At 42.1% G+C, this 13,002-nt stretch overlaps 1 protein-coding gene across 53 annotated transcripts in view; it reads left to right on the top strand.

The window, feature by feature from the left end:
- The window catches only part of KANSL3 (KAT8 regulatory NSL complex subunit 3), a 57,819-nt gene that overhangs the window by 37,581 nt on the left and 7,236 nt on the right, over positions 1-13,002 (top strand). For 28 of the 53 annotated variants that reach the window (NR_047656.2, NR_146100.2, NR_047655.2 and 25 more), the window contains one exon: positions 5,101-7,560. The exons of 4 other annotated variants lie outside the window; for them this stretch is intronic. Coding sequence is in view for 38 of the 49 variants with exons in the window: in XM_047445033.1 (XP_047300989.1) it covers positions 5,101-5,121 (21 nt within the window). In the remaining 11 variants the exon portion in view is untranslated. Of the gene's footprint in view, positions 1-228; positions 1,080-2,571; positions 2,652-5,100; positions 7,561-13,002 lie in introns of those variants that run through there. 21 more of the 53 variants (XM_011511462.4, XM_011511459.4, XM_011511461.4 and 18 more) reach the window with 3 other exon arrangements.

Here is a 13,002-nt window from a genome sequence, read left to right as displayed (position 1 = left end):
TATTTCTAATCTTAAAATGGTAATCTGAGGAGCCACTCAAAGATTAGAAGTTAAGCCAAAAAACAGTTTGAGTCTAGTACTGAGTGTGCTTTCCTTCAGTATCCGCTATACAGCCAAGGCCTTCCTGTGTCTCCCTGTCCTTTCCACCATGTCAACCTGCTTGTGAACTGGAGGTGCAGTGATAGTTCCTGAGCCATTCTAAAAGCTCTTCTGTCTCTTCCTCTTTAGGGAAAATACTGCACAGAGGTCAACACCTGACATTCGTTGGGATCATAGCTACCTTTTTTTGCAGAGGGATGGAAATGTTTTAATTTTATCTTATTTCTTATTTTTTCAATTATAAAAATGATTATGCTTATTTTAAATAATTCAAACATTATAGAAATAATTAATTTAGAAAGGGAAAGTTTCCCATGATGCTACTCCTAGAGATGATGTTCACTGTTAATAGCCTGATATGGATCCATTCAAATTTTTTTTTCTACACAAAGTATGTTATTTTATTTATTTTGTACAAATATGGGATTACAGAGTATGGACTGTTTTGTAACTTGCCTTTTTTTATAAATCATGTCGTGACACGTTTCCCTGTCTGTGTCTTTTCAGAGGCTGGCTAGTATTTCACTGAGTAGATGTATGAAGATGTATTTCACCACCTTCTGTTAGGTAGATAGCTGGGTTCTATTTTGGTTTTTGATATTTTAAATAATGCTCTGGTGAACACTTGTTTATTCTTGTGTACCTCTGGGAGCATTTCTCCAGGCCAGAGAATAAGTAGAGGATGTGTACCTCTAATATCTGGGCAGCTGCTCACTAACTGCCCTTCAAAAAGTTTTTGCTACTTTACAATTCTAGCCACGGTGATGAAAATATGTTTCATATTTTGTGGAAATCAAAATTTTAACTTTATTAATCTGGGTGAAAAATGAAATTGTTTTAATGTGCATTTTCCTGATTACTTAAGAAGTTTTATGTCTTTTATGAAATGTTTGTCATACTCTTTGAATTATAGTGGCTTTGTATATTCAGATGTTAAATCTTTATCTGTTACACAAATTACATATATGTTATTCCTGTCAGTGGCTCATATTTTTTTTTCTTTCTATTGAAGCATTCATTGAATGTCAGTCAGTCTTTTAACTTTTATTTCTAGATCATACAGCCATTTAAATGTTTCATATAGTAAAATCTTCAAATATTTTCCTTTATAGCTCCAAAGTTTTATGCCTTAAGAAAGCTAGCCCTATCACAAGAATATAAAAGTAATCCTTTTTGTTTTTAAAATTTGAATTGTGGTAAAACATATATAACATACAATGTACCATTTTAGCCATGTTTCAAGCTTACAGTTCAGTAGCATTGAGCACATTCACATTGTGGTACAGCCATCACCACCATCCATCTCCAGAACTTTTCTGTCATCCCATATTGAAACTCTCTCTTTGTGTTTTCTTATAATGCTTTTGCTTGTTTCCTTTAATTCCTTATAGTTCACTTTTGTATGTTAAGTGAGGTAAGGATGAGTCCATTCATCATTCCTCCACTCATCTAAAATCCACTGCTGTCACATTCTAAAGTACTGAACACATATGGGCCTGTTCTGTAGTTTTGAATTTGTCTATCCTACGCTGGCCTTCTGTTATGGGTTGATAGTATGGATCTTGAAGTTAAGGGAGTGTCAATTCTGTTTCTAGTTTGCTAAGATAATCTTCATTCTTTTCCTTTCTCATGATAGTTTTGAATTTTTTCCATTATTCTTTTAGAATCACATGAAATGAATGAGGATAAACATTTCCTTTTTTTTTTTTTTTTTTTTTTTTTTTGAGACAGTCTCACTCTTGTCACCCAGGCTGGAGTGCAGTGGCACGATCTCAGCTCACTGCAACCTCTGCCTGCCAAGTTCAAGCTATTCTCTTGCCTCAGCCTCCTGAGTAGCTGGGACTATAGGCTCATGCCACCACCCTCAGCTAATTTTTCTATTTTTAGTAGAGACAGGGTTTCACCATGTTGTCCAGGCTTGTCTTGAACTCCTGACCTCAAGTGATCCACCCACCTTGGCCTCCCAAAGTGTTGGGATTACAGGCGTGAGCCATCATGTCCGGCCAACGTTTCCTTCTAATCAGTTAAAATGATGAGTTACTTTAATAGGTTTCCTAATATCAAACTGTGTGAATTCTAGATGCAGTGGCTTTTTCAGTGTGTCCTATTCTTTTTATTATACATACAAAGGCAACAAGACCCTATCAAAAGAACGAAATGAAAAAAGAAAGAAGCTAAGCATTTCAAAAGAAAAGCATGTCTATTCTATTTGCTTTTATTTTACTTAGGATTTTGGCGTCTATATTAATCTCCTCAGGCTTTGGCCCATAGTTTTCTTCCCCTCCACCCCCTACTTCTGTGTGTGTGCTTTCCTTTGTCTAGTTATGTAAAAGGGGTAATTCAATCCTTGTAGAATGAGATGGGAAGTGCTTTTCCCCTCTCATACTCTAAAACAGTTTTATAGTACAGAAATGATAGTTCCTTGATGGGTTGATAGAAGTGACCTACAAAGCCATTTGGGCCTGTTTTTAGGGTGTCTTCGTTTGCTGATGCCATGTTGATGGACAACTAGAACACAGATCCTGCCACGTGATCCCTTCCTCCTGTGTTAGGTAATCCGTCTCAGCTTGCCATGGCCTGGGCCAGCCAGTTACCATTGAGAAGAGAGTAGAGGTCATTGAGAATCCCCCTTTTCTGGAGCTCAGTTGAAGCACAGAATAAAGATCAAGGTCTGGCCTTCTAACTGATGATGTTAACATGAGATTAGTTTTCATCTTAATAGAATGGACGTAGGCTGGGCATGGTGGTTCACGCCTGTAATCCCAGCACTTTGAGAGACCTAGGCGGGTGGATCACGAGGTCAAGAGATCGAAACCATCTTGACCAAAATGGTGAAACCCCATCTCTACTAAAAATACAAAAATTAGCTGGATGTGGTGGCGTGCACCTGTAATCCCAGCTACTTGGGAGGCTGAGGCAGGAGTATTGCTTGAACCTGGGAGGCGGAGGTTGCAGTGAGCTGAGATTGTACCATTGCACTCCAGCCTGGGCAACAGAGCCAGACTCTGTCTCAAAAAAATAAAATAAATAAATAAAATAAAGTGGATATGTAATTGCTAGGAGGAGTCAGGTGGTGATTCTTTTCCAACAAGCAAGGGGATGTTATTAGATTAAGGCTTCTTGCTGATTCAGAAGCTTCTAATAGCTCTGTTCAGATTGCCAGACAGAGCACTGGACTATGGGTCAGGTCATCTGTTTTCAGCCAGCTGTGTGATCCTGGGCAAATCACCTATCCTTCTGGGCTTTGGTTTTCTTACCTGGTTTAGAGAGGAAGTTGACTTAATTCAGTGACTGTTGTGGTGGCAGGATCAGAATCTCCTCAGGCTTTGGAAACCGACGTTTTTTAATGCTTAGAAACAAACTACCCATTTTTTTGACATTTATGAGGCAATTGGAAATTTTAACACTGACTGGATAGTTGTTGATATTACGGAATTGTTAACCTTTTTAATGTGTGATAATGGTATTGTTAGGATTTTAAAACAGTCATTTTTTATTTTGGGGTTCCATACTGCAATATTTTTGGATGGAATGAATTTAAAAAGAAAAGTGAACACCAACTAGACTTCTCTAAGATCTGTATAAGCACTTAATTATCTGTTTTGTTTCTGGCACTGATTGGTGTTTACTATGTGTTTCCTTCATGGGAATGGACTATTGTGTACTCATCACAGCTGAGAAGCTGCAGGGAGGAAGAGGACAGACAGAGACTATGTTGTGCCCTGCATCAGGGTCCAAAAAATGGACTCCCTGCCTGTGGTTATAAGTTCTCTCTCCTCTCTGTCCTGCTGGCCATACCAGGACCTTGTCAGCCTGGCAAGCAGCACCTCTAGCTGGAGGCCTCTGGCAGTGGGCCTCACTGTAGCCTTGTAGCAGGCTGTGGGCAAGCTGGCTCACTCTAAGGTGTATTCATAATCAGAACAGAGTGATCATCTGTGTACAGCCCTGCCTTTGGGCAGGGAAGCCCATGAGGTTTTGTTTTTGTTTTTGATTGAGATGGGGTCTTGCTATATTGCCCAGGTTGGTCTGGAACTCTGGGCTCCAGCAGTCTTCCCACCTCAGCCTCCCAAAGTGCTGGGATTGAAGTCATGAGGTTTGATTGTCAAACTCCTCTTCATTGGTGTGATTATGGCTCACTGCAGCCTCAACCTCTTGGGCTCAAACAATCCTGTGGCCTCGGCCTCCCGAGTAGCTGGGCCTATAAGGCATGCAGCACTATGCTCACCTAATGTTTGAAAAAATTTTGTAGAGATGGGCTAAGTTGCCCAGGCTGGTCTTAAACTTCTGGGCTCAAGCAGTCCTCCTGCCTGGCCTCCCAAAGTGTTGGGATTATAGGCATGAGCCACCTCGCCTGGCCTTCCCTCCTTTACTACATTCTCAGAGACCTCTTAGGAGTTTCCCAAGGGGGAAATTTAGAAAAGTGGGGAAAGCGTTGGTAAAAAAGGCCACCCTCTCTACTTGCTTCCTTATTCTTAAGCTGCAGGGCTCAACATTGATGGCATCCCCCCACACCTACATGTCTAAGGCCTCAAAATCAGAAGTCACGGAAATCTTCCCTTCTGTTCTGTTGCCCTTAAAAACTCACCTATTTCCTTTTTTCTGCATTCCTTTTCTGTCTTCATGTGTAATAATATGAGGTGACCTTTGTTGTTGAGCACAGATTAAACTCAGGAGCTTTATGTGGATTATTTCATTTAATCCTTACGGTGACCCTGGAAAGTAGATGCTGTCATCTACCTCTTACAGGCGAGGAAAAGGAGGCTCAGAGAACATAGGCACTTGCCTTAAAAAGTGGAAAGTTGAGTCTCTCACTCTAGAGTCCATGTTCTGTTAACCACTTGGCAGCTAGAACATGTGTCCTTGTGTATCCAACTTCTTTCCTATTGAGAATTAATTCTTTAAAATAAATTCTCAGGAGTTGGGATAATTGGGATAGAGGGTCTGAATATGATGATAACCTGTCAAAGCTTTGACCCTTCTTCACTACCTCTCCTGCCACAGCGCCTGCCTCCAGCACCCTGAAGATGCTGTGTGATATGTCCTCCTTACCAAGTTGGTGATGGCTGCCTCATGGTGGGCCCTGGACAGGTGTGTGGTCCTGCTGAGCTGTCCACGTGTCGGAAGACCTGTTTAAGACAGTCATTTTTGCCTCTCCGCCAACTGTCTTCAGAGAAACCATTAGGTTAGGTGATACGGTGCCAGCAAGGGAAGCACCATCGTCCAGGATCTGCAAATCTGGTTCCTGGGAACCCCAGACTCCTCAGCAGATCTGGCTGTACATGGATCAGAACCACTTCTTCCCCCGCTTAAGCTGTGGTTTGACCCAAGGGTCAGCATATAGGACTGCCTGCTGCATTTAATGAAGGTGTTTCCTTTTGGAAGTCTGTGCTACCCTCTGCGCCTAGTTGGGAGGAGACATCCATCTGGTCTGGGATTTCGGGAGTTAGAATGGAAAGCTCTTTGCTAAAGACTGGAGTCATCCTGGCCTGCCAACTGGTGGTTCAGAGCCGGACGGGCTTGTTTTGGACATCACTGTTGCCTTCACTCAGCAGCCACGGGAGAGTGCTCCCCATGCAACTCCACCTTAGAAACCACGTCAGATACTGAGTAGCTTGCTGACTCCTGGAAACTTCTGGTTTTTGTTAGTATCATAATGAAGGCAAAGAGAACTAGGCTGTCATCTTTCAGCCTCTTTGACTTACTCTAGATGTTGGGAGCAGTGGTTGCCAGGTGAAACCTGGGCCCTTTGTCTTTTTCACCATGCTTTGGGCAGTTTCTGTATCCAGAGAGTCCGCAGGTTCAGATAAGCTGAAGAAGAGTAATAGAACAGCAAAGGAAGTGGCTTGAAGGATGTGCTAGTAAGCCCTGTGGTTTGTGCTTAGGTCTCTGCTCTGCTACCCAAGGAACTGGTGGTTCAGCTGGAGATAAAAAGAAGAATTTGCCAAGTCAGAGAAGAAACCCCAACCCCGGAAAATCCTCTGTCTCCAGTCTCTGGAGGTGAAGCAGGGACAATAAGCTAAGGTAGTATCTTGGCCATCCCAGGAAACTTGTGGCATTAGGACGATGAAGGCCATGCTTCAGTGTTTTCGTTTCTATTTCATGAGACTTTTTGTCTTCCTGCTTACAAGTGGGAAGATGATTGACAGTGACTCTACTATGCAGGGCTGTTGGTACCAACCTGAGCCCTATAGGTGGCAGTCCCTGGAGAAGTGGTCACAGAAGATGGAGCTCTGATCCCCTGCTTACCTCTTCACAACACTTGTGTGCAAAGATAGTTTTAGATTTGGTTTAGAAGCTATCCTCCAGAACAGGCTCCCATACTTAGAATGTTTCTAGTTAAGGTAATAAATTAGGCAACCCAAGTGTGACTCCACTCAAGTGTCCTTTTCTGTAGGCAGGAAGGGCCCACAACATGGCTTAAAATGTAGTCCATGGTTCTGGCCCACAGTACAGTGTGTATCTATACCAGGTCACCTGTGTTCAATCTGGGAGCCTTCCTGGCCAGTCTGAGTGGCAGCCAGAAGGGAGCTCATAGTGTCTAGGAGTCTCAGGCAAGGTAGGTCAGGGTACTGTGGGCAGGGGGGATGTGTGTGATAGGAGAGGGTACCCTAAACCCCATACCTTCCCTCCCTGACCTGAAAAGCTGATCTCAACAGGGATTCACACAGAATTAGGCTGTGTTTTTGCATTAGCTGGTAGGTGACTTTCTCAAAATTCTTAAATTCAGAAAGTATTTAGTAAACTTGAGGAAGGTATGAAATCTGGAGGAGGCATCCAGGACCCAGGGGTTTGATAGCTTTACAGGTAGGATCATACCACACCAAAAGAGCAGTGGACAATAAGACTATATGAGCTATATGAAGCTTTTAGGAATCATTTAGGACAGACAGAGCCCTAAACAACCCATTCATGACTTAAGTTGTTGGCTCAGTGTATGCTGGGGACAAAGAAAAACTAACAAGCCGACCTGCCTTTATGATAAATTCTAGTGTGCTTACAAGGGATGACTTCCTGAGGTGTGATCTGTCCACCTTGAAGAACTCCACAACTGAAGAAGGGGAGCTGTGAGAACGTGGATTGTTCTACAACTTGCACAGGGTAACAGAGGAAGTGGCTGAGGCCTAGAGTCACGTTTTCCAGTTCCCTTCGCAAACTATATTTCTTGGAACGCGAAAGGAAGCTTTACCTATTTCATAGAAGACCTGGAATCCATAACCTCAGAAGGCAATATTATTGATAGAAAATGTGGAAGGATCAGGAAGTTCTTAGATTCTTGGATGACAGATGCATGTTGATGCCCTATGGAGATGTCCTTGTGTTTTGAGGTCACTGAGGTAGGAAGACCTGTCTACTCTTGGTTTCACCACTAGAACAGTCTTGGGCTGGATGGGTTATAGAGCTGAGCGGCTGTGATGGTTCTGTTTTTACATTAACAAAAACAATTAAAAACACCAAAAACAACATTTGGATTGCTTCAGCTTCTTTTCAGTTGACTTCTCATATGTATTCTGGAAACCACCCAATGAAGTGGGCACCAAAGGTAGAGCTAAGATATTGTAAGGCCAGTGATCATCACCTCACCAATGCCAGGTGGTATGAGGGGGTACTGTAATTTCCTTTTTTTTTTTTCGAGATGGAGTCTCGCATTGTTATTTGGGCTGGAGTGCAATGGCGCGATCTTGGCTAACTGCAACTTCCGCCTCCTGTGTTCAAGCAATTCTCCTGCCTCAGCCTCCCAAGTAGCTGAGATTACAGGCGCCCGACACCACGCCCAGCTAATTTTTTGTGTTTTTAGTAGAGACAGGGTTCCACTATGTTGGCCAAGCTGGTCTCAAACTCCTGACCTTGTGATCCGCCCGCCTCAGCCTCCCAAAGTGCTGGGATTACAGGCGTGAGCCACCACACCCAGCCTGTAATTTCCTTTCTATAAGTGAGGAAACAGGCACAGAGCAGTCAAAACAGCAGGAAATGGCAGAAGCAGTACTGGAACCCAGACAGTCTGATGTCAGTGTCTTTTCTACTCTGCATTGTGCTAGGGTTCTAAGATGGGAGACTGGAGGTAGAGATTAACCCAGGAGGTGAGGAGATGGTGGCTTGGCCTGCACGTGACCTTTTCAGTTTACTTCCCACCAGGCCAAGAGTAATTGATGTTGATATGGTGGGGCTCTTGGCTGAGCCTACGTCAGTAGGTGGGGTCCCTCAACCTTGATCCTGAAAGATCAGTATCCTTTCGCACTTCCTATACCTCCACCCACCGCCAATAAATACATAAAGATTTAGAGATGAATGAATGAATTCCAACCTCTAGATTATTTGTTAACTTGTATTCAGGAGGACCTTCCTTCTAACCCCTAAATTCCAGGTCACTACCCTTGGCATTGGAGCCCTCTGGGTGGAGGCCATAGTTCTGGTATGCTGCTTGGAGTGTCCAGTATACCTGGGCACATCGTGTTACCCTCCTTAGTAGACATCTGGTTTGCTGTCTTCTCCCTCAAACTCTAGTCTCACTGACTTGAGCAGTCAGGTCAAGCGAGATGAGGATTAGATTGTTAAAATGACAGCTCTCTGAAACTTCAGGGGTATGGGGACAGGGCCATAGCAAATAATGATGCAGACAAGTCTTTTTTACCTTTTTATGTCTTTTTCAAGCACACATTTTGGTCAGGGTTGATGGCTGCAAGAAGGAGAAACCTATTCACCACCAAAATAGCTCTGAAAGGGAATATTCTCTCATTAGGCATTTTTATAGACAAGGAGCCTCACGGTTTTGGTACTTGCCTCGTGACCTCAAGTGGCTTGGACTTGCCGGGATCCAGTTTTGATCCTATTGTCACAGGACTTTTTAGCTGCAGAACCCTTTATGGATGGCTGGTCTCTTTCATTCAGTTCAAATTCTGAAGACAGCCTGATTGGCTCACTCTCACTTGTGGGTTGGTTCTCCTTATCTCTTCCCACCCAGTCCAATCATAGTATCCAGAAGATGAAGTCATGTGGTTCATATCATTACTTTTCTAAGGAGAAGTAGATGGATTTAAACAAAGCAAAACACTGCTGGACTGTTAGATATGTGTGTTTTTAACCTGCAATTGTAGTATAGTATAACACCCTTCACCAAGTTTCCCCAGTACTTACATCTCACTTAACTATAATACAAAATTAAAACCAGGAAGTTGGTACAATGTGTGTGTATAGTTCTATGTCATTTTATCGCTGTAACCATAAACAAAATACAGAATGGTTCCATCAGCACAAAGATCTCCCTCATGCCACCCCTTTATAGTTGCATCCATCTCCTTCCCCACCATTCCTGACCCTAGCAACCACTAATCTCTTCTACTTGTCCTAAATAGGTTGATGTATAAATAGAATCTTACAGTGCATGGCCTTTTGAGATTGTCTTGTTTTCATTCAATATCATTTCCTTGATACACATCCAAGTTGTTACGTGTATATGAGTAGTTCATTCCTTTTATTGCTGAGTGGTATTTCATGGTATGGGTTTAGCACAGTTTGTGTAACAATTCATTCACCTATTGAGGGACATCTAGTTTGTTCCCTGTTGGGGGCTATTACAGATAAAGCTACTGTGGCAATTGTGTGCAGTGGTTTTGTTTTGTTTTGTTTTGTTTTGTTTTGTTTTGTTTTTTGAGACGGAGTCTTGCTGTGTCGCCTAGGCTGGAGTGCAGTGGCACGATCTCAGCTCACTGCAACCTCCACCTCCCTGGTTCAAGCAATTCCCCTGCCTCAGCCTTCTGAGTAGCTGGGATTACAGGCACACACCACCAGGACCGGCTAATTTTTTTGTATTTTTAGTAGAGACAGGGTTTCACCATGTTGGCTAGACTGGTCTCAAACTCCTGACCTCAGGCAATCCTCCTGCCTCGGCCTCCCAAAGTGCTGGGATTACAGGTGTGAGCCACTGTGCCCAGCCAATTGTATGCAGTTTTTAAAATGAGAACATGAGTTTTCATTTCTCTCTGGTAAATAACCAGGAGTGTGATTACTAGGTCATATGTTAAGTTTTTAATTTTTTAGGAAACTGCCAGCCCAGCCTGATGGCTCACACCTGTAATCCCAGCACTTTGGGAGGCCAAGATGGTAGGATTGCTTGAGCTCAGGAGTTTGAAACCCCCTAGGCAACATAGATAGACCCTGCCTCTACAAAAATACAAATTAGCCGGGTGTCATGCCGCGCACCTGTAGTCCCGGCTACTTGGGAAGCTGAAATGGAAGGATTGCTTGAGCCTGGGAGGTCAAGGCTGCAGTGAGCTGTGATCGTGCCATGGTACTCAATCTGAGCAACAGAGTGAGACCTTGTTTCTAAAGAAAAAAAAAAAGAAACTGCCACTGTTTTTCAGAGTAGTTGTACTATTTTACATTCCTATCAGCAGTGTATGCGAGATTCATTTTCTCGGCATTCCTGCCAGCATTCTATATTGTCTCTTTTATTATTTATTTATTTTTATTTTATTTTTGGGAGACTGAGTCTCATTCTGTCGCCCAGGCTGGAGTGCAATGCGCAATCTTGGCTCACTGCAACCTCTGCCTCCCAGGTTCAAGCAATTCTGCCTCAGCCTCCCTAGTAGCTGGGATTACAGGCATCCACCACCACACCTGTCTAATTTTTTTTTTTTTTTTGTATTTTTAGTAGAGATGGGGTTTCACCACGTCGGCCAGGCTGGTCTTGAACTCCTGACCTCAGGTAATCCACCCGCCTCAGCCTCCCAAAGTGCTGGGATTACAGGTGTGAGCCACTGCGCCTGGCCTCTTTTATTTTTTATTTTAGCCATTCTAATAGGTGTGTAGTGGTATCTCATTGTGGTCTTTTAAATTTGTTGAGGTTTATGGCCCAGGGGTGATCTATCTTGGTATGTATTCTGTGGGTGCTTAAATGTGTTCTGCTGTAGGGTGGAGTGTTCCATAAATGTCGATAAAATTGTTGGCTGATGGTGTTGTCAGGTTCTTGTATATCCTTGCTGATTTTCTGTCAAGTTGTTCTGTCAACTGTAAAGAGTGGTGTTGAAATTTCCAACTATAATTGTGGAATTGTCTATGTCTCCTTTCAGTTCTGTCAGTTTTTATTACACATATTTTTCAGTTCTGTTATTTGGTACATACACTTTTAGGATTTCTGTGTCTTTTTGGTGGATTGACCCTTTTATCATTATGTAATGTCCCTCTGTCCCTGTTGGTTTTCTTTGCCATGAAGTCTACTTTATTTGACACTATACCCATTCTACTTGTTTTTGATTTATGTTTGCATGACATATTTTTTATTCTTTTGTTTTCACCCTACCTATGTCATTATATTTCAAGTGAATTTCTTGTAGACTGCATGTAGCATATGATTTTTCTTCTATACCAATATCATTCTTTTAATTAGAGTTTTTAGACTGTTTTCTTACATGTAATTATAGGTAATGTTAGGCCTTAAGTTGGCCATTTTAGTTTTTGTTTTCCATTTTTTGTTTTCATTTTCCTGCCTGTAAGTGGGTTACTTGAACACTTTTTTTAGAATACAATTTTGGTTTATTCATAGCGGTTTGAGTTGTATCTCCTTGTATAGTTTTTTAGTGGTTGCTCCAAAATGTTACTTTATATATATGTAACTTACCACAGTCTCCTGGTATCCACATTACCCTCTTCCACCTCTAGTATAACTATCTATGTACTTTGAGAACCACGTTAGACAGTGTTGTAAGTTTTGCTTCAAATATAATTTAGAAAACTTAAGAAAAGGGCTGGGTGCGGTGGCTTAAGCCTGTAATCCCAGCACTTTGCAAGGCCAAGGCAGGCAGATCACTTGAGGTCAGGAGTTCAAGACTAGCTTGGCCAACATGGTGAAACCCTGTCTCTACTCAAAAAAATACAAAAATTAGCTGGGTGTGGTGGTGGGCGCCTGTAATCCCAGCTACTCCGGAGGCTGAGGCACGAGAATTGCTTGAACCCAGGAGGCGGAGGTTGCAGTGAGCCGAGATTGCACCACTGTACTTCAGCCTGGGTGACAGAGCGAGACTCCGTCTCCAAAAAAAAAAGAAAAGAAAAGGGAAGTCTATTGTAGTTACCCATATTTTTGCTCTTTCCATTGTTCTTTCTTCCTAATGTTCCAAGATTCCTTCTTTTACCATTTCCTTCTTATTTAGAGAACTCTCTTTAGCCAGTCTTCTTTGTTGTCAGCGGCAACACATTCTTTTAATTTTCCTTTGTCTGAGAATGTCTGAATTTTACCTTTCATTAATGAAGGATAGTTTTGCTAGATAAATTCTGTGTTGACCACAGAATTCTGTTCTTGAATTTGGAAAATTCTGCTTTCTTGTTTTCTGATGAGATATTCAGTGTCATTCAAATTGTTTCCCGTTTGTAGATAAGGTGTTGTTTCTTTGTGCTTTCAATATTTTTTCTTTTTCTTTAATTTTCAGGTTTGAATATGATGCATCTTGACATGGATTTTGGTTTTTTTTTTCTGTTTAGGATTTGCTCAGCTTCTTGAACCTGTATAGGCTTAAGCCTTTTTACCATATTTGGGGAATTTTCAGCCACTATTTTTTCAGTGCTTCCTTCTTTTTCCTCTGCATCATGCCCCCAGTGGCATGACTATTAGATCTTAGGTATAGCCCTACAGCACCCTCAGGCTCTGTTCTTTTGTTTTTTTTCTGTTGGTTTGTTCTCTTTTCAGATTGTGTCTGTTGTTCTGTCTTCAAGTTCACGGATTCTTTCTTGTGTCCCTTCTGTTCTGCTGTTGAGCCTATTCATTGATTTTTTTCATTTAGGTTATTCTAGTTTTCATTTCTCAAATTTGTTTTGTTCTTTATGTCTTCTGTATCCTTCCTGAGGATTTCTGTTTTCATTTGTCTTAGTGTGATATTGCTCATTGCAGCATTTTAAATGATGGCTGCTTGAAAA

This window comes from Homo sapiens, chromosome 2, assembly GCF_000001405.40.
Source record: "Homo sapiens chromosome 2, GRCh38.p14 Primary Assembly".
Lineage (NCBI taxonomy): Eukaryota > Metazoa > Chordata > Mammalia > Primates > Hominidae > Homo > Homo sapiens.
The sequence above is the reverse complement of the archived record's forward strand: the minus strand, read 5'-3'. Positions and strand labels throughout refer to the sequence as shown.